Source organism: Homo sapiens, chromosome 9 (assembly GCF_000001405.40).
Source record: "Homo sapiens chromosome 9, GRCh38.p14 Primary Assembly".
NCBI classification, from domain to species: Eukaryota; Metazoa; Chordata; class Mammalia; order Primates; family Hominidae; genus Homo; species Homo sapiens.
The window spans coordinates 36,297,999-36,320,074 of NC_000009.12; the positions used below are offsets into that span (position 1 = coordinate 36,297,999).

Consider the following 22,076-nt stretch of genomic DNA (forward strand, 5'->3'; position numbering starts at 1 on the left):
AGATTATTTCAAAGGGAATTTGAGGAACAGAGAGGCAAAGAGAAAAGATAAAATGGTTTTGCAAATAGATGCAAAACTGGTTAATATCCTACAGTGCAATAAAATGTAATGTTTGATGTTCTCTCTTCTGCAGAGGAGAAATCAATTGTATCTTTATCAGACAAAATTTATTTGCATTGCTATGGATAAGAATTTGCTTTACCAAGCCAGGCGCGGTGGCTCACGCCTGTAACCCCAGCATTTTGGGAGGCTGAGGCCAGCAGATCACGAGGTCAGGAGATCGAGACCATCCTGGCTAACACGGTGAAACCCTGTCTCTACTAAAAATACAAAAAAAAAATTAGCCAGGCGTGCTGGCAGGCGCCTGTAGTCCCAGCTACTCGGGAGGCTGAGGCAGGAGAATGGCGTGAACCCGGGAGGCGGAGCTTGCAGTGAGCAGAGATCATGCCACTGCACTCCAGCCTAGGTGACAGAGCGAGACTCTGTCTCAAAAAAAAAAAAAAAAAAAAAGAATTTGCCTTACCATCAGATTTTTTTTACAATTTTACTTCATTTCCTACAAAATTATAAAATAACCTAGTCAATAAGAAATCAGTTAAATTGCACAACCCTATAAAATCCAAAAATTCCAGAAATTCCAATAGGCAGTAATAACAATTCCATTGAAAGGAAACCTGGTAATCTCCTTTGCCCATTTCCATATCTTGGATAATTTTCTCTGGCAATTCTTACGCATTTAGGATGTGGTCTAGGAGGAAGCCTTGGAATTTTCTCACTCTGGATTGTGGAACCACAAAGTCAGCCTGGAGCTGCCTACATCTGGACACCTAGGCTCCTGTCAGAGCCAGTTTATTATTTCCAGTCACTCATTACTGGGATTCTCCTCTCCCTGGGGCGTTATGAAGGTAAGGAGAGGGTTCTTGGGCAGTCAGTTTCAGCATTAACCGTTTTATTCCCACATTTGGCAATAGGGCTTGCCGTCCATTATTTATGGCCTCTGTCTTAATCTGTTCTGTGTTGCTATAACACGATACCACAGACTGGGAAATTTATGAAGAAAATCAATTTATTTCTCACAGTTCTGGAGTCTGGAAGTTCAATATCAAAGTGCCAGCATCTGACAAGGGCCTTCTTGCTGAGACATCCCATGGCAGAAGCCAAAAGAGCAAGAGAGAGCGAGGGCAAGTGAGCAAAAGGAGGCCAAACTCACTTTTAAAACAGCCCACTCTAGAGATAACTAACCCACTCCCTCAAAAATGACATTAATCCATCAGGAGAGCAGAACGCTTATGACCTAATCACCTTATTAGGCCCCACCTCCTAACACTGTTGCATTGGGGATTAAGTTTCCAACACATGAGTTTTGGAGAACACATTCTCAAACCATAGCAGCTTCCTTCCAAAACCTGTCTCAACTGCCCAAAGCCTTTTCCAGACTCTTCTTCTACTTGCAAACCCTCTATTCAAACCAAAGAAACAATTAATATAACCTTAAATTTACAAAACCATGTGGTTTGTTAAACAATCACATACAACCTTTTTTTTTTTTTTTTTTTTTTTGAGACAGAGTCTCGCTCTGTCGCCCAGGCTGGAGTACAGTGGCACAATCTCGGCTCACTGCAACCTCCGCCTCCTGGGTTCAAGCAATTCTCCTGCCTCAGCCTCCTGAGTAGCTGGGATTATAGGCACCCGCCACCATGCCCAGCTAATTTTTGTATTTTTAGTAGAGACGGGGTTTCACCATGTTGGTCAGGCTGGTCTCAAACCCCTGACCTCGTGATCCACCTGCCTCGGCCTCCCAAAGTGCTGGGATTACAGGTGTGAGCCACCGCGCCTGGCCATGCACAACCTTGAAACATCTCTTGTATCACATTTTTAACCTTGTCTATCATTTTTTTGAGTGTTCTTATGTCTTGTGTTTTCAATGAAGTTGCACTTCTAGAATAGATATCAGAAATTTTTCTCCTCTACCACCACCCCATATTAGACGTTAGTTTTTTTTTTTTTTTTTTTTTAGACGGAGTCTCGCTCTGTCACCAGGCTGGAGTGCAGTGGTGCGATCTTGGCTCACTACAACCTCTGCCTCCCGGGTTCAAGCGATTCTCCTGCCTCGGCCTCCCGAGTAGCTGGGACTACAGGCGCCTGCCACCACGCCCGGCTAATTTTTGTATTTTTAGTAGAGACGGGGTATCGCCATATTAGGCAGGCTGGTCTCGAACTCCTGACCTTGTGATTCGCCCTCCTTGGCCTCCCAAAGTGCTGGGATTACAGGTGCGAGCACCACACCCGGCCCTGATTTTTTTATATATATACAGATGGGGGTCTCATTATGTTGGCAAGGGTGGTCTTGAACTCCTGGCTTCAAACAATCCTCCAGCCTTGGTCTCTGAAAGTGCTGGGGTTACAGGCTTGAGCCACCATGCCTGGCGTAGGTGTTAGCTATTTTGTATTAAAGGGCTAGAAAAAACGGCTCAGAAAAAATCTTTGACTTCTCAATACCTTCACAATAGTGTGTAGACACTTAGCAGAGAGTCCAAGCTCCCCCTCAATATCTTCCACCTTCTTGTGCCAGGCCAAATGCTTACCCCCAAACATTTCTTTTTGCATCTCTGTATCTACGCTCCCAACTTGGAATGCTCTTTTACTTTACTTTCAGGGCTTCATTCAAATGCTGCCTCTTCCATGAAGTCTTCCTTGATCCCTCTAATTAGAAGTTACCAAGTGACTTGCCTTGTCCTGTAAAGATCTGCAGTGAGATGACGCAGGACACAGGCATGGAGCCCGAATTCGCTTATTAGTTTTGTGATCTTTGGCAAGTTATTGTAGGAGACCAGCATATGCCAGCACAAAATATGCCTCCTTAGCGTAAGGACTATTTTGAGCTGATGATTTTGAGAAGCTACAGATACAGGAGAAGCTCTGAAAACAGTAGAAATTACCCTTTTGTAAGGGAAATTTAATCCATAAAGGAAGTCTCCATTTGTTTTTGTTTTTTTGTTTTGTTTTTTTTTTGAGACAGAGTCTTTCTCTGTCACCAGGCTGGAGTGCAGTGGCGTGATCTCAGCTCATGGCAATCTCCGCCTCCCGGGTTCAAGCAATCTCCTGCCTCGGCCTCCCAAGTAGCTGGGACTATAGGTGCGTGACACCACACCCAGCTAATTTATGTGTTTTTAGCAGAAATGGGGTTTTACCATGTTGACCAGGCTGGTCTCGAACTAGTGACCTCAGGTGATCCACCCGCCTTGGCCTCCCAAATTGCTGGGATTACAGGCATGAGCCACCACGCTTGATCGGAAGTCTCCATTTGTAAGGGTTGTCTTCCTTTCTGTACCAGGAAAAGCAGGATGATTCTAAATCACTAGGAACTCATCAGTAGAGATGGCTCTGGCTTAAATCTGTGCAGCAAACCTCAGTCTTGTTTACTCTGCTTTTCCTGGCGGCTCCCTCATTATCAGCCTTCTCCACAGCCTTCTTTCTCTGTCCAGCAAATGATAGTATTGAACCCTGAATTCAAAGCCACCTCTTTGAGGTTTACTTCTTTCTCTGTTTATCTCCTATGGATACATAGGAGGTATACATGTTGTTAAACTTCTGGAGTTTTGTTTTGTTTCGAGACAGGATCTTGCTCTGTTGCCCAGGCTGGAGTGTAGTGTCACAATCTCAGCTCACTGCAGCCTCAACCTCCTGGGCTCAGGTGATCCTGTTACCTCAGCCTCCCAAGTAGCTAAGACTAAGTCACCTGCCACTGCCCAGTTAATTTTATTTTGTATTTTTTGTAGAGACAGCAGCATCTCAGCCATGTTGCCAAGGCTGGTCTCAAACTTCTGAGCTCAAGCAATCCTCCCGCCTAGGCCTCCCAAAGTACTGGGATTACAGGTGTGAGCCACTGTGCCCGGCCTGTTTTTCTCTTGTTATGTGTCCTGTGTTACAGAGGTCCATCCTGTCTAAGAACTATGAAGGGCAGAAAAAAAAGTTATTTTTCCCCCTCTTCAATATTAAACCACTCTGTGCCTGAGTTTTCTAAAAAGAGTGCTACCCACTCACATCATAGGGTTTTTGTGACGATTAAATAAATTAATACATGTAAAGCATTTAGAAGATGCCTAAAACATAGTGAGTGCCCAATAAAAGTTAGTTATTATTGTGGCCAGGCATGGTGGCTCACGCCTGTAATCCCAGAACTTTGGGAGGCCTAGGCGGGTGGATTACCTGAGGTTGGGAGTTCAAGACCAGCCTGGCCAACATGGAGAAACCCTGTCTCTACTAAAAATACAAAAAATTGACCAGGAGTGGTGGCACATGCCTGTAATCCCAGCTACTCGGGAGGCTGAGGCAGGAGAATCGCTTGAACCCGGGAGGCGGAGGTTGTGGCGAGCCAAGATCGCGCCATTGCAACTCCAGCCTGGGCAACAACAGCGAAACTCTGTCTCAAAAAAAAAAAAAAAGAGTTATTATTATTCCTTTCAGATGCTCTCATAATTCTTTGCTAGTGCTTCTTTCAGAGTTTTTGTTTGTTTGCTTGCTTGTTTTTGAGACAGAGTCTCATTCTATCACCCAGGCTGCAGTACAGTGGCATGATCTTGGCTCACTACAGCCTCGATTTCCTGGGCTCAAGCAATCCTCCCACCTCAGCCTCCCGAGTAGCTGGGATTATAGACACCCACCACCATGCCTGGCTATTTTTTTTTTAAATGTAATACTGTTTATTTAACTTCAAAAACATTTCAGCATTCTAAACATACAAAAAAAAATGTTGCAAATCGTGTTTAAGTACAGGAGGTTCTTGAACTTTCATTGATGCAGTGGCTCTTCACTTTGCTGACAATGAAGAGTTCTACAGCTTGTTTAAAAACTACCCCACTTTACTCAAAAAAAAAAAAAAAAAAAACTTCTCATGCCAGCTGACCCCGCTTTGTCCACAACTAAGAAGGCAGCAGAATGCTATGTCACTATATACAGAAACAAGACGACCTAAAGCTAAATGGATGCCCACTGCATAGTCAACAGGTCTAGCCTCACAGTGCACGCCCTGAGCTACAGCCCCTCCAAAAGGCATCTTCCCCACAGCCTCAACGCCGAGCAAGGAGCATCAAGAGTTTGTCTCGGTTGTTTTGTTCTTTTTACAAACTATAGAGATATACAGTTGATAACTCAGGATTTCTAGCCAATAACCATATAGTTAACACCACCTTACAAATAAAAAGAAAACGCCAGAAACATCTTTAAATGCCTTGTCACACCAACGGCAAAGTGCACAGAGTGAGGAGAACACGAGAGTGCCTTTTCATTTTAAAAATGTTTGGAAATATGTACAACTTTGGTGCAGTTTCAGGGTGCTCCAGACACCCATGGCCACTTCATGTAAACCACTGACAATTTCTAGAGCACTTTGAGAGACTACAATACGATCGTGATCAAATTTTGTAATTAAACCTAATGAGGGCAACAGACATTAAATAAGAGATGTGTCAGTTACGGCGCTCCCCTACTCTATGTATTCACAAGGAGACAGATAAACAGTTTCTTTGTTCATCCTCCTCGTCCTTCTCCTTCTCTTCTTCCTCCTCGTCTTCTTCATCTTCCTCTTCCACCTTTTTCCGGGCAACTTTAGCAGGACGCTTTGCGCCATAAAACTTTCCTTTCAACTTACAGTCAACAACATCCTTCTCATACTTCTCCTTCAGCTTTGCCGCCTTAGTGACGTAAGGCTGCTTTTCACTGTCATTTAAGTTATTCCACATCTCACCCAACTTTTTTGCCACGTCTCCAATAGAGATGCCGGGGTTTGTGGATTTGATCTTGGGGCGGAATTCTGAACAGAACAGGAAGAATCCAGATGGTGGCCTTTTGGGGGCATTAGGATCCTTCTTCTTGCCTCCCTTAGCTGGTCCATAATCCTTCATTTCCCGATCATAGCACACTTCATCCGCCTTTGCCATTTCACCAAATTTAAATTTCTCTTTACTGGACATTGTCTTCCACCTCCCAGAGCATTTCTTGGAAAATTCTGCAAAATTGACAGGGACTTCTGGGTTTTTCTTCTTATGTTCTTCTCTGCATTGGAACAGGAATTAAAAGAAATTAAAGAGGCCGGGCGCAGTGGCTCACGCCTGTAATCCCAGTAATTTGGGAGGCCAAGGCAGGCGGATCACCTGAGGTCCAGAGTTCAAGACCAGCCTGACCAACATAGAGAAACCCTGTCTCTACTAAAAATACAAAAAATTAGCCAGGTGTGGTGGTGCATGCCTGTAATCCCAGCTACTCCAGAGGCTGAGGCAGGAGAATGGCTTGAACCTGGGAGGCGGAGGTTGCTGTGAGCCGAGATCGCACCTTTGCACTCTAGCCTGGGCAACAAGAGCGAAACTCCGTCTCAAAAGAAAAAAAAAAGAAATTAAAGAATGTGTAAGCAAAAACTCAGTTGTATGTAAGAAAACCCAATTCTCCCTGAGAAAGAAAAAAAGCTGAAGTCCTTTAAAAATTGACTGCCTGTTTTTCTGTGGCTAGTGAGCCTTATCTCTCCCTTTCCCAGGCATTGTGAAGACTCTGTTTCTCTAGCTGTGTAGCTGCAAGGTCACTAGGCAGATAATCTCAAGTCGTAAAACATGTTGTTCCTTGGAAAGTAAGAAATGATGTAATGCATGTCTTAATTAAATAACTGTCTTTGTTTCTTGCTTCTGTAATATGCTTCCCCCTGCACAGATCTCCCACCGCCCCACAAAATGCTTAAAAGGTAGCTTGACTCTTTGTTCATGGCTCAGTCCTTTGGATGTTAATCCGACTGGGTCGGTGCACCTAAATAATTAAATAATTCCTCCTCAACCCCTCAGTCTTTCTGATTCCTTAATTATCCCACTGCAGCATGTCTGCACAGAGAAGGCATAAGCAGACATCTTGCCCTGTGGTTTCTTGGGGTCACCTTTAGCCATCCTGACTGTATTGTTCACTAGTCTGGGTAGCGCAGGGCATGACGCGTGGCTCGGCGCTCCCTAGCCTCATGCTAGCTGCCTCCATGAGAGCCACCTCCATGCCTGGCTAATTTTTTTTTTTTTTTTTTTTTGAGACGGAGTCTTGCTGTGTCACCCAGGCTGGAGTGCAGTAGCACGATCTTGGCTCACTGCAACCTCCTCCTCCCAGGTTCAAGCGATTCTCCTGCCTCAGCCTGCTGAGTAGCTGGGATTACAGGTGCCTGCCACCATGCCTGGCTAATTTTTGTATTTTTAGTAGAGACGAGGTTTCACCATGTTGATCAGGCTGGTCTTGAACTCTTGACCTCATGATCCACCCGCCTCGGCCTCCCAAAGTGCTGGGATTACAGGCATGAGCCACTGTGCCCAGTCTGGCTAATTTTTATATTTTCAGTAGAGACGAGGTTTCTTCATGTTGGCCAGGCTGATCTCAAACTCCTGACCTCAAATGATCTGCCCACCTTGGCCTCCCAAAGAGCTGGGATTACAGGCATAAGCCACTGTGCCTGGCCACTTTTTACTTTTTCTTTTGTTGTAGAGACAAGGTTTCATTAGGTTTTCCAGGCTGGTCTCGAACTCCTGGACTTAAGCGATCTTCCTGCCTTAGCCTCCCAAAGTGCTGGGATTACAGACAGGAGCTACTGTGCCCAACCCTATTATACTTATAATAATTAGTTCATCCGTTTACATATATTTATACTCTTACACTAAGTTTATCAGTCTCATATATATTTTATTCACTTTTTACGTTTCTGTCTCCTTCACTGAAGTAAGCTCCTTAAGGGATGTTTAGGGAACATTTGCGAATGAATGAACAAATTTAAGAATGAGTGAATGGGTAATTGGAGCCTTGGTTCTCAGTAAACAAATCTTAATAAAAAATCAGACTAGCTGGGTGCGGTGGCTCATGCCTGTAATCCCAGCACTTTGGGAGGCTGAGGCGGGCAGATCACAAGTTCAGGAGTTTGAGACCAGCCTGGCCAACATAGTGAAACCCTGTTTCTACTAAAAATACAAAAAAATTTAGCCAGGCATGGTGGCATGCGCCTGTAGTCCCAGCTACTCAGAAGGCTGAGGCAGGAGAATCACTTGAACCCAGGAGGCAGAGGTTGTGGTGAGCCAAGGTCACTCCACTGCACTCCAGCCTGGGCAACAGAGCAAGGCTCCATCTCAAAAAAAAAAAAAAAAAAAAATCAGGCTGGGCTTGGTGGCTCATGCCCGTAATCCCAGCACTTTGGGAGGCCAAAGCAGGCGGATCACCTGAGGTCGGGAGTTTGAGACCAGCCTGACCAACATGGAAAAACCCCATCTCTACTAAAAATACAAAATTAGCTGGGTGTGGTGGCACACGCCTGTGATCCCAGCTACCAGGGAGGCTGAGGCAGGAGAATTGCTTGAACCTGGGAGGCAGAGGTTGCGGTGAGCTGAGATCCCGCCATTGCACTCCAGCCTGGGCAACAAGAGCAAAACTCTGCTCAGACTTTCTGCTCATGATATGTGGAATTTTTTTGTGTGTGTGCCAAAATATCATGTTGAAGGATTTTTTGACAAACCACCAAGCCTATGAAATGAGCTTTTATTTTGCAGGGTCAAGCAGCTGTTTGAAGTGTAATGTTTGGACAGGCCTGAAATCTACAGCACCAGGATTTTTCCTACATAAATCATCTTTGGTATATTTGTTTTCTGGGTGTTAAATCAAAATAGTAACTTGATAGTCAGTTTATTGTGCCTCCTAAAATTCACACAGATGGTTTTTGTCCCCCCCGCCATCAACGAAAGCCCTAAGCTGAAGAGTAGGTACATTATCACTAGCAAGTTATGTGACCTTGAGCAAGTCACTTCTACAATATCGGGTTCGATTTCCTCATTTCAAACAGAAGGTGAGTTCATTTCCTGCTCTGTGTGGCTGCTTAGAGCCATTCCCACTTCCTGCTGTGTTCTCCCCGGTATCACAGGAGCTGGCATCTGGGAGATGACAGTTCCTGTAGCTGCTCTTCAGGGCTCCAGTGCAGGTTCTGCCAATAAACAGTGTATCTGCAAGATTAAGAGAGTGAGAGTAGAGAGGATTATGGCTTCTGGCAGCGGAAGGCAGGTGAGCAGACTTCAGCAGGCTTTGGAAAGAAGGTTTCAGCCACATGTTCCGGGTGTCTTCCTGCAAGGTGTTCACCTCAGTGCTGCAGGGAGCTGAGTTTGTTGGTAGTTCCTACACAGCTTGATTTTCTTAACACTAACAGCAGTCTTCTGCCCTTCCAACAGTTTGTTTGTTTGTTTGTTTGTTTGTTTGTTTGTTTTATATAAAAGTTAGGCCTGGTGCGGTGGCTCACACCTGTAATCCCAGCACTTTGGGAGGCCAAAGTGGGAGGATCACCTGAGGTCAGGAGTTTGAGACCAGCCTAGCCAACGTGATAAAACCCTGTCTCTACAAAAGTACAAAAAAAATTAGCTGGGCATGATGGCGGGTGCCTGTAATCCCAGCTAATCTGGAGGCTGAGGCAGAAGAATCACTCCAGCCTGCGCAAGACAGCGAGACTCCATCTCAAGAAAAAAAAAAAAAAAAAGGCCAGGTGCAGTGGCTCATGCCTGTAATCCCAGCACTTTGCGAGGCCGAGGCGGGTGGATCACTTGAGGCCAGGAGTTTGAGACCAGCCTGGCCAACATGGTGAAACCCTGTCACTAGTAAAAATACAAAAATTAGCCAGACATGGTGGTGCATGCCTGTAATCCCAGCTACTTGGGAGGCTGAGTCAGGAGACTCACTCAAACCCGGGAGGCGGAGGTTGCAGCGGCCGAGATCGCTCCACTGCACTCCAGCCTGGTGACAGCAAGACTCCGTCTAAACAAAAAATAAAAAGGCCGGGCGCGGTGGCTCTCGGCTGTAATCCCAGCACTTTGGGAGGCCGAGGCGGGTGGATCACAAGGTTAGGAGATCGAGACCGTCCTGGCTAACACGGTGAAACCCTGTCTCTACTAAAAATACAAAAAATTAGCCGGGCGTGGTGGCAGGCTCCTGTAGTCCCAGCTACTTGGGAGGCTGAGGCAGGAGAATGGTGTGAACCTGGAAGGCAGAGCTTGTAGTGAGCCGAGATTGCGCCATTGCCCTCCAGTTTGGGCGACAGAGCAAGACTCTGTCTCAAAAAAAATAAAAATAAAAAAGTTAGTTTTAGTTTTTATTTTAAAAATAACTACAGATCCCTTATTTACACGGAAAGACTACCAACATTTTTTTAAGTAACAGCTTTATTGAAATATAATATCGAAAAGCCACTTAAAGTATACAATTCAATGGGTTTTTAAAAATATATTCAAGGTGTTGTGCTGTCATCACAATGAATTTTAGAACATTTTTATCACCCTTAAAAGAAACTGCAAACCCATAAGCAGCAGTCTCTCCCTGTTCCACCCCAACTCTGCTCTCCCCACCTAGCCCTAGGCAACCAGCAATTCACTTTCTGTCTCTATGGATTTGTCTGTTCCGAACATGTCATATAAATGGAAACATGATATGTGGCCTTTTGTGTCTGGGTTCTTTCATTTAGCATAAGGTGTTTAAGATTCCTCCACATTGTAGCTTGTTATCAGTACTTTGTTTCTTTGTATTACCAAATAAAGTCTCATTATATCACATTTTATTTATCCACTCATCATTGGAGGGATATTTGGAGTGTTTCCACATTTTGGCTATTAGAATAATGCTGCTGTGAATATTTGTTGTTTTGTGTTGTTTGTTTTTGTTTTGAGATGTAGTCTTGCTCTGTTGCCCAGGCTGGAATGCAGTGGCATGATCTCGGCTCACTGCAACTTCTGTCTCCTGGATTTAAGTGGTTTTCATGCCTCAACCTCCCAAGTAGCTGGGACTACAGGCACCTGCCACCAAGCTCAGCTAATTTTTGTATTTTTAGTAGAGATGGGGTTTCACCATGTTGCCCAGGCTGGTCTGAAACTCCTGACGTCAGGTGATCCACCCGACTTGGCCTCCCAAAGTGCTGGGATTAAAGGTGTGAGCCCCGCACCCAGCAAATGCTGCTATGAATATTCACATACAAGTTTTTGTGTAGATGTGTGTTTTTATTTCTCTTGGATATTCACCTAGAAGTGGAATTGCTGTGTCATATTGTAAGTCTGTTTAACCCTTTGAGGTGCCTCCAGGCTGTTTTCTAAAGTCGCTGCACCATTTTACAGTTCTACCAGCAGTGTATGAAAATTCTATTTCTCTGTGTTCTTGCCAATACTTGTTACTGTCTGTCTTTTAAATTATCCTAGTGGGTGTGAAGTGATATCTCTTTGAGGTTTTGATTTGCATTTTCCTGATGGTTAATGATGTCAAGCATCTTTTTTTTTTTTTTTTTTTTTTTGAGACGGAGTCTCGCTCTGTCGCCCAGGCCGGACTGCGGACTGCAGTGGCGCAATCTCGGCTCACTGCAAGCTCCGCTTCCCGGGTTCACGCCATTCTCCTGCCTCAGCCTCCCGAGTAGCTGGGACTACAGGCGCCCGCCACCGCGCCCGGCTAATTTTTTGTATTTTTAGTAGAGACGGGGTTTCACCTTGTTAGCCAGGATGGTCTCGATCTCCTGACCTCATGATCCACCCGCCTCGGCCTCCCAAAGTGCTGGGATTACAGGCGTGAGCCACCGCGCCCGGCCGTCAAGCATCTTTTTATGTGCTTATTGGTCATTCGTGTGTGTGTGTGTGTGTGTGTGTGTGTGTATTTTTTGTTGTTGTTGTTGTTAAGACAGGGTCTGTTGCCCAGGCTAGAGTGCAGTGGCATGATCTTGGCTCACTGCAGACTCGACCTCCTGGGCTCAAGCAATCCTCCCACCTCAGCCTCCCAAGTAGCTGGGACTATAGATACAAGCCACCACGCCCAGCTAATTTTGTTCATTTTTTGTAAGAGATGAGATCTCACTATGTTGCCCAGAGCTGGTCTCAAACTCCTGGGTTCAAGCACTCCTCCCACCTTGGCCTCCCAAAGTGCTGGGATTACAGGCGTGAGCCACCGCGCCTGGATGGCCATTTGTAGATCTTATTTGGAGAGTTATCCATTCAAATCCTCTGCGTTTAGCCGGGCTAACTTTTTTTTATTGAGTTGTAGATTTTTTAAAATCACATATATGACTTGCAAACATGTTTTTCCATTTTGTGGGTTGTCTTTTCACTTTCTTCATGGTTTCCTTTGAAAAATAAAAGTTTTAACTTTTAGGTGGGCATGGTGGCTCACGCCTGTAATCCTAGCACTTTGGGAGGCTGAGGCGGGCAGATTGCCTGAGCTCAGGAGTTCAAGACCACCCTGGGCAACATGGTGAAACCCTGTCTCTGCTAAAATACAAAAAATTAGGCAGGCATGGTGATGTGCGCCTGTAGTCCCAGCTACTCAGGAGGCTGAGGTATGAGAATCACTTGAACCCGAGAGGCGGAGGTTGCAGTGAGCCGAGATTGCCATACTGCACTCCGGCCTGGGTGACAGAGCGAGACTCTGTCTCAAAAAATATATATAAAAATATAAAAATTAAAAATAAAAATAAAAGTTTTAACTTTTGATAATGTATAATTTGTCTATTTTGTTGTTGCATGTGCTTTTGATGTCATAACTAAGAAATCATTGCCTAATCCAAAGTCACAAAGATTTATGCCTTTTTTTCTAAAAGTTTTATAGTTTTAGCTCTTATATTTGTGTATATGATCCATTTTAAGTTAATTTTTACATATATGTATGGTATGGTATTTTGCACCCAAATACATAAAGCAAAAATGAACAGAATGGAGGGGAGAAACAGAAATTGAATAATGATAGTTGGAGATTTTCATGCACATTTCCACAGATGTATGTTTCCCAAGTTTCTTTGTTATTGATTTCTCATTTCATTCCATTGTGGTCAGAAAACATGCTTTACATTGTTTTTATCCTTTTAAATGTATTAACATTTGTTCAATGGCCTACCATATGGTCTATCTTAAAGAATCGTCTATGTGTATTTGAGAAGAATATATATTCTGCTATTTCTGCTATTGCTGGGTAGAGTATTCTAGAGATGTCTGTTAGGTCTAGTTGCTTTATAGTTTTTTGGGTTTTGTTTTTTGTTTTTTGTTTTCTTTTTTTTTGAGACGAAGTCTCGCTCTTTTCCCCCAGGCTGGAGTGCGATGGCGATCTCAGCTCACTGCAACTTCTGCCTCCCGGGTTCAAGCGACTCTCCTGTCTTGGCCCCTCTGAATAGCTGGGATGACAGGCACATGCCACCACAACCAGCTAATTTTTGTACTTTTAGTAGAGACAGGGTTTCACCATGTTGGCCAGGATGGTCTAGAACTCCTGACGTCAGGTGATCCACCCGCCTTGGCCTCCCAAGATTCTGGGATTACAGGCGTAAGCCACTGCACCTGGCCACTTTATAGTATTAAGTCTTCTATTTCCTTGTTGATCTTCTGCCTAGTTGTTCTATCCACTATTAAAAGTAAGCAGAGTTTCTTTCTTTCTTTCTTTTCTTTTCTTTCTTTCTTTTTCTTTCTTTCTTTCTTTCTTTCTCTCTTTCTTTTCTTCCTTCCTTTCTTTCTTTCTCTCTCTCTTTCTTTCTTTTCTTCCTTCCTTCCTTTCTTTCTTTCTTTTTTTTTTTTTTGAGACGGAGTCTCGCTTTGTCTCCCAGGCTGGAGTGCAGTGGCGCGATCTCTGCTCACTGCAACCTCCACCTCCCAGGTTCAAGCGATTCTCCTGCCTCAGCCTCCTGAGTAGCTGGGACTACAGGTGCCCACCACCACACCTGGCTAATTTTTGTATATTTAGTAGAGACGGGGTTTCACCGTGTTAGCCAGGATGATCTCGATCTCCTGACCTCATGATCTGCCAGCCTCAGCCTCCCAAAGTGCTGGGATTACAGGTGTGAGCCACCTCACCCGGCCTCTTTCATTTATGTATTTATGTTTGTATGTATGTATTATTTTTGAGACAGAGTCTCGCTCTGTCATCCAGGCTGGAGCGCAGTGGTGCAATCTCGGCCCACGGCAACCTCCGCCTCCCGGGTTTGAACAATTCTCCTGTCTCAGCCTCCTGAGTAACTGGGATTACAGACGTGAGCCACCACGCCTGGCTGATTTTTGTATTTTTTAGTAGAGACAGGGTTTCACCATGTTGGCCAGGCCGGTCTCAAACTCCTGGTCTCAAGTGATCCGCCTGCCTCGGCCTCCCAAAGTGCTGGGATTACAGGTGTGAGCCACCACAACTGTGGTGATTTCTTAATGAGGTGATAAAAATATTCTAAAATTGACTGTGGTGATGGTTGCACTATCTATGAATACACTAAACATCATTAAATTGTACACATAATTTAAAAAAATTACAGAGATGCGATCTCTCTATTTTGCCCAGGCTGGACTCAAACTCCTGGGCCCAAGCAAACCTCCTGCCTTAGCCTCCTCAAGAGCTTCAACTACAGACTCTAATTTGTGCATTTTAAATGGACGAATTGTATGGTATGTGAATTATATCTCAAGGAAGCCGTTACTTTAAAAAAGTAAAAACATAGCCCATGAGTGGTCAGGCGCAGTGGCTCACATCTGTAATCCCAGCACTTTGGGAGGCTGAGGTGGGTGGATCACCTGAAGTCAGGAGTTCGAGACCAGCCTGGCCAGCATGGTGAAACCCTGCCTCTACTAAAAATACAAAAATTAGCCAGGTGTTGTGGCGCATGCCTGTGATCCCAGCTACTCAGGAGGCTGAGGCAGGATAATCGCTTGAACCCGGGAGGTGGAGGTTGCCGTGAGCTGAGATCATGCTACCGCACTCCAGCTTGGGCAACAGAGTGAGATTTCATCTCAAAAGACAAACAAACAAAAATAACAACAAAAAAAAAACCTACAATGAGATACCACTGCACACCCCCTAAAATGGCTCTGATCAAAAATGTGGAAAAATGACAAGTTTTGGAAAGAATGTGGAGAAACTGAAACCCCCATACATTGCTAGTGGGGTGCAATATGGGGCAGCAGCTGTGAAAACAGGCACTTCCTCAAAAGGTTAAACATAGTTATCCTATGACCCAGGAATTCTATACCTAGGTAGAGATCCAAGAGAAATGAAGACTGACATCCACACAAAAACTAGGATATGACTATTTATAGGAGCATCATTCATAATAGTCAAAAGAATAATAAACCTAAAAGTCCATCAGCTGTAGAATAAACAAAATGTGGCACAGTATATTCTTATCATGGAATATTACTCAGCAATAAAAAGGAATGAAGTCCTGACACATGCCCCAATGTGGATGAACCTTGACATTAACATGCTAAGTGAGAGGAGCGAACGCAAAAGTCACATATTGTATGATTCTGTTTATATGGAATGTCCAGGACAGGCAAATCTATAGAGACAGAGGGTGGATTGGTGTTTGCCAGGGGCTGGAGGGAGGTGGAAAAGGGAGGGACTGATAATGGGTATGGGGTTTCTTTTGGGGGTGATGAAAGTGATCTGGAATTAGATAGTGGTAATGGTTACACAACTTTGCCAATAAATAAAAAACACTGAATTGTATACTTTAAACGGGTGAATGTTATGGTATGTGAATTATTTCTCAATTTTTAAAACGAAAGTTTTGGAACAGAAACATTTTTGGAGAGGATTAAAATGGCACTGCATGAACAGGACAAGTGGAGTGGGGAACTCCAAGCAGGATGACCGCTTTCAAGACAGAAGTGTCGGCTGGGCGCAGTGGCTCACGCCTGTAATCCCAGCACTTTGGGAGGCTGAGGTGGGTGGATCACTTGAGCTCAGGAGTTCAAGACCAGCCTGACCAACAGGGTGAAACCCCGTCTCTACTAAAAATACAAAAATTAGCTGGGCGTGGTGGTGGGTGCCTGTAATCCCTGGTACTCGGGAGGCTGAGGCAGGAGCATCATTTGAACCGGGGAGGCGGAGGTTGTAGTGAGCCGAGATCACGCCACTGCACTCCAGCCTGGGCAACAGAGTGAAACTTTGTCTCAAAAAAAAAAAAAAAAAAAAAAAAACACAAATGTCTCCCTGACCCTCACGTCAAGAACAAGACCTGACATCAAGTATGCACTCGCACTGAATAAATGGTTATATTTTCATACACTTGTATGAAGAAAGGGTTATATTCTATGGATTGGATTAACTGGGGGAAGAAAAGTTTCAGATGAAAGAGACAATATGAAGAAGCGCTTTGAGGACTTGGAGAGAAGAGCTAGGCATGGCTGCGGTATAAGTAACATAGCAACATTGCTGGGCGCAGTGGCGCCCACCTGAGGTCCCAGCTACTTGGGAGGCTGAGGTGGGAGGAATGAGCTGAGGAGTTCGAGTCAAGCCTGGACAATATAGTGAGGTCTTGTCTCTCAAAATAAAAAGCTTTAAAAAAAGTTTTTTAAACATTAAATGCATACAAGGCAAGAATGCAAGAGATGTCACAAAACTTATGTGGCCATCACCAGATAAAAAGCATAGACAATGGCATATCCAAATAGAGGAGAGAGAATTCACTGTGAGCAAGCAAGGCCTCCCAGAAGACATCTGGCATCCAGTGGGCCTCAAAGAATAGCAAAGATTTTCAAGGCTGAAGCAGGGACAGCTTCCTGTTACTAGAACTCCTGGAACCAAGGGTTTACGCAGGACAGGCCCAAGAAAATAGATTGGGAGTTTCCAAACTGTGGCTGTCCAGTGGCCCCTGGCTACCACAGGAGGGAAGAAAGAGTTCTATCTTTAGTCCTTAAGATCAGAACTAAAACTCTATCTCTTCTATAACAACCAGCCATAATCCATAGGCTTTTTTTTTTTTTTTTTTTTTTTTTGAGACAGGGTCTAGCTCTGTCACCCAGGCTGGAGTGCACGGGTGAAATCATAGCTCATTGCAGCCTTGACCTGCTGGGCTCAAGCGATCCTTCCACCTCAGTCTCCCACACAGCTGTGGCCACAGGCACATGCCATCATTACTGGCTAATATTTGATTTTTTGTAGAGATGGGATCTCACTGTGTTGCCTAGGCTGGCCTCAAACTCCTGAGCTTGTGTGATCCTCCCACCTCAGCCTCCCAAAGTGCTGGGATTACAAGTGTGAGCCACTGTGCCTAATCTATAAATTGCTTTCTGATATAAGCTACTTTCTTTTTAAAAGTGTTTTTAGAAAAAATAAAAAGCATGTAAGAACACAGCTTTAAGACCATTTTAAAAGAGAATTTAATCCAATGGTTGTGAGCTGAAGTTGGTAAAGCCCACATAATGCTGGGTCATGCACATACCGAGATACTCAACAAGGCTTTGATGAATAGGTGAATCAATGAATGAATGAAATGCCTGAGGCCATCCTGATTCCCTCAATGAACTGAAGCAGGGTGACAAGGGTGTGGGCAGAGTGGGGGGTCAGAAGTGTGAGGGGAGGGGGGGATGTGGATGAGCCACTCAGGAGAAGTCTGTCTGATGAATAGGTTTCTAAATCTGTTGCTAAGAAAGCAGCAGCAGACATCTGACTTTTGTGGGTAAGCCCTTGTTCGGCCTCAGAGCTCCATGTGCAGGAGATAGCACAACCTCCATTTCCCCTGCGTCTGGTCAAAGAGGCTTTCTGGTTAATGTTTGTAGGACACAGAGACAACAAATATAAACAAGTGCCTGGCCTGGGCAAGGTGAAGTTTTGGTTTGGGTCTTTTTTTCCAGTTTTAACAGGGTCTGTGATGGGGGCAGGCATTATTCAGTCTTTGCCAAATGATGTTCTGAAACCCCTTCCCGGTGGAGGGCACAAGGGCAGAGTCCTATGAAGAACAGACAGGCATGGCCAAGGCATCTGTGTACCTGGCAGCGTTTGGAAGTCCCCCTTCCCTAGGCCGAAGGCTGTCCTTTGTTTAGGTGAGCCCTCTCTAGAGCCAGACTGAGGCAAGGACAGTCATTGGCTTTCTGGAGGCAAGGAAAATCCCTGGCTTTCTGGGAGAAATACACATTGATGAGCAGGGAAGTCCCAGACCTGCTGGGAAGACAGGATTTTTGGAAACAGACAGACGTAGGTTTGAAGTCTGACCACCTACCTGTCTACCGGCTGGGAGAGTCATATCTAATTCCTGCTTCTTCCCAACTTACTCTAAATCTGAAAATGTTTAAATCTCAGCCCTAAGTGAGTAGCCCCCAGGAGGAGCCAAAGGAGGGGTGGGAAGGAGGGAGAGAGACAGAGGGAGGAGAGAGGGAGGAGAAGGAGGGGGAAGAGGGGAAGGGGAGAGGGAGAGGGGGAGGGAGAGAGACAGAGGGAGAAAGGTAGAGAGGTGAGGGAATAAAATGGGACCCCAGCTGCAGGGCCCAGAGCAGCCCTACCAGCCAGTAAATGATGGCTTCCAGGCAAAGAGAACATTGTACTGCAGGCAGTAGCTGAGCTGACCTGGACACTGGAAGTCAGGGGCCCACAGACAGAACAGAGAGGGCTGTACATTCAGTAAAGAAAAAATTACACACTTATTTTCATTAACCCCTAACTAAACTTTAGCTATTCCTTCAGTTAATGTATGCAACAAAGTAGGGTGTATCAGAGGCACCTGCAAGTCTGGCGCAATTTGAATCTGAAATATTTTCACTTCCCACTGCGTTTGTTGCAGATACCTTGAAATTTCTTATATTCATCACTTCTTCAAAATCATCGTTGTTATTAGAGCGACTGCCAGATCTTATCATGCAATGCATTAATAAAGTAGCCTTTATCTTGCCTGAGTTTGTTTACATTTTGATAACTGTATTTCAATACAGCAGGTTCTGTCTGGAGTCCTTTGTGCTTGTTTTAGGCATGAAGAACATGACTCCAAGAATCCGTCCATCCACCTCCCCAGGCTGCCGAAGACGGGAGCACGGCACACAAGGGTGAGAACTGAGGAGGGCAGCTGGCAGGGGCAGGCTCTGAAAGCACAGCTGTGTGAAGGTCCGGTTCAATATCCGCTTCAGAAGACACACAGCCCTTTGTTGCTCATGTCTGTTGCTGTCTAAAGTTGATCAAGGGCCAACTTAGAGAACAGGATGGAGCTGTGGAGAGGAATGGGTAGAATGCCATGGAGATATTGAGAACAAAAGGCCATGGCTAATACTCCCACTCCGGCCCCAGCACCCAGGCACAGGGAATCTGAGCCCCCTCCACCCACATCTGCGAGCCCCTGACAGACTCAGCAGATGTCAGCTTTTTTGAAGAGACGGTGTCTCTCTCTGTTGCCCAGGCTGGAGTGCAGTGGTGCAATCACAGCTCAATGCAGCCTGGAACTCGGCTTTGCAAGTGATCCTCCCACCTCAGCCTCCTGAGTAGCTGGGACTACAGGCATGCACCACCACGCAGAGCTCCGGTTTTTTGTTTTTTTTTTTTTGAGATGGAGTTTCCCTCTTGTTGCCCAGGCTGGGGTGCAATGGTGCCATCTCGGCTAACTGCAACCTCTGCTTTCCGGGTTCAAGCAATTCTCCTGCCTCAGCCTGAGTAGCTGGGATTACACGCATGTGCCACCATGGCCAGCTTATTTTGTATTTTTAGTAGAGATGGGGTTTCTCCATGTTGGTCAGGCTGGTCTCGAACTCCTGACCTCAGGTGATCCACCCACCTGGGCCTCCCAAAGTGCTGGGATTACAGGCGTGAGCTACTGCGCCTGGCCTCGCAGAGCTAATTTTTTACAGAGGCTGGGATCTCACTGTGTTGCCTAGGCTGGTCTCAAACTCCTGGCCTCAAGCGATCCTTTGGCCTATAATCCCAAAGTGCTAGGATGACAGGCGTGAGCCACCGTGTCCGGCCTCTGTCTGCCATCTAACTCGCAGCCTGCTTCTATCATGTGCTGGAGAGCTGCCCTGCCTGCTGAAGAAAGCTGAGACCCCAAACGTCTTTTCCTCAGGAAGGTGAAGGTGAACTTGGTGGCCTTTACCTGATGACTCTGCTGATATTTGATCCCTGAGGGAATGAGCCACGGTTCAGCACCCAACCCCCACTTGAACTCTGCAGTTTCCCAGTTTCATTAAGAAGCCCATTGTTGAGTCTGGCCATGCGTCAAGGACACGTGGACTCTTGGGGCAACCCCGTTTCTCCAGCATCCTCCCAGGTGATGGGTTGGTGTGGCCAGGAGCCAACAGGAAGGGTGTGGGCCAGAGGGGAGAGGCTTCCTAGCAGCTGGCTGCCCTGGAGCTCCGGGAAGGTTTGACCATCAGGTTTACTGCACCAGGAATATATCCTTCAGTTTCCCCCAGCCAATCTGTAGAATAAGGAGAAATGGAGAGTGTAGGAAGATAACTGCAGTGTGGACACAGCCTCAGGTTTCTTCTTCGGTAAAGCTGATGTTTATTACACAGGGGCATAGTAAGTGAAGCATGCACTTCATTTTTCATTTTTCCTAGAATCCAGTGCTGCTAAAAAAAAAAAAAAAAAGGACAACTGTTTACTCACTGAAGAGCAAATATATACGTTGTTGGATGAGGAAGAAAAAGTTCCGTTGGGACGGGGCGTGGTGGTTCACACCTGTAATCCCAGCACTGTGGGAGGCTGAGACAGGAGGATTGCTTGAGCCCAAAAGTTCGAGTCCAGACTGGGCAAGATGGCGAAACCCCGTCCCTCCAAAAAATACAAATATTAGCTGGGCGTGGTGGTGTGCACCTAGTCCCAGCTACTTGAGAGGCTGAGGTGGGAGGATCGTTTGAGCCTGGGAGGCAGAGGTTACAGGGAGCAGGAGGTTACAGTGAGATGAGATTGCGTCACTGCACTCCAGCCTGGGCGACAGCAAGACCCCGTCTCAGAAAAAAGAAAAAGTTCCATTGCTCCCCACCACCCAAATGAATGCCACCTAAAACAGCTCCTGAATGGCTGGGGGCCAGAGTGGCGGGTTTTGGGAGAAACAAACCACAGCTGCCAGTTATGAGGCACCAGCTGCACCACATCGTTTCATTAGATCCCCCGCGATGCCATGAGGCAGGAGCTCTTCAACTCACTTTCCACATGAGGAAAATAAGGTTTCGGGAAGTTAAGAAACTTGTTTCTGCCACACACATCTTACCTTCTGATTTGATTTTGTGAGAAAAGCCTGGTTTGTTTGTTTGTTTGTTTGTTTTTGCCTGAGCATGGTGCACATTTCAATCTGGAATGAAGGAGTATAGTGAGGGGGAGGTGCGGCGCACCTCAGCTGTGCAGGTGTGTGGTGTTACTTAAAGCACACCATAGCGGCTACTGGGAAGCCTGGGTCCCAGCCCTGTTGCTAAGCTGCTGCTTGACCTGGAGTAGCTCCCTTTTCCCAGCGTGCCTCAGTTTCCTCATGGGAAAGCTCACTACCAGCTGAAGGTGAGTGGACTGGGGATGGAGAGGAGGGGACAGAGCTGGGGTGCAGGCCGGCAGACGGGTGGAGTGTGGGAGAGGCTGAGATGGGGAGAGTCCGGGGAGCAATGGGGTTCCAAGGAGGGGGCTGAGTCCTGGCCTGGGGAAGTCAGGTTCAAGGCGCTGGCGTCCCAGCTGATCCCTGGACCTGAACAGGGACCTGTTCCCTGTCCTGCTTGGAAGTCCCATCCTGGGTGTGGGCAGCCAGAGAAAGGAAGCGTTCTCCCAGTGCTGCCATGGGCTGCAGCCCTACCCTGCTGGGCTGAGTTCTGTGTTTAATGGAGGGAGGAGGAGGAGAGGGGTGAAGAGCTGGGCCTTCTGGTAGCTTTTTATAATTATTTCTAAAATGCTATATTTGGATATTATTTTCTGCTTCTACAAATAAAACATGCATATTGTAAAAAAATTCAAACATAACAAAAATCTGAAATTGCTGGAAATGCTTTCCCAGGGCTGCTCCCTAGAACAAACTATTAATTATTAGGTGCTCATTGTACATGCTTTTTTACTCCTTTATTTTCCTTTTTTTTTGGTAACATATGAACATGTTTATGTTGGACAATATAGAAGTATTTGAATCCAAATATCAGAGTTCCTCTTCCACTCCTTTCAACCTCCTGGTATGGCAGGCCAGGCCTCAGGAACGCGGGCCTCCGTAACAACTATTTCAGTACTGACTGGTGAAGTTAAATATTAAAAGCTGGTAGAGCCAGTGTCCTTACACAAAAGCTGGAATGTAACAAAACCCCACCCAGAGTTTCGCCTAGGCCTTTCCTGGGCCTTAAAGCATGACAAAATAACGAAGGCATTCTTAA

General features: G+C 45.7%; 1 long non-coding RNA gene and 1 pseudogene across 2 annotated transcripts in view; one reads left to right on the forward strand and one right to left on the reverse strand.

Moving 5' to 3' along the window:
- LOC102724322 (uncharacterized) overlaps positions 1–20,467 on the forward strand; it is a 30,452-nt gene extending 9,985 nt beyond the window's left edge. The window contains exons 3-5 of one of the 2 annotated variants that reach the window (XR_001746660.2): positions 741–905; positions 18,719–18,794; positions 19,799–20,467. This is a non-coding gene — a long non-coding RNA (uncharacterized LOC102724322). Of the gene's footprint in view, positions 1–740; positions 1,541–18,718; positions 18,795–19,798 lie in introns of those variants that run through there. The other variant, XR_001746655.2, reaches the window with a different exon arrangement.
- Positions 4,684–6,972, reverse strand: HMGB3P24 (high mobility group box 3 pseudogene 24; annotated as a pseudogene).
- Positions 20,468–22,076: the final 1,609 nt, after the last annotated feature.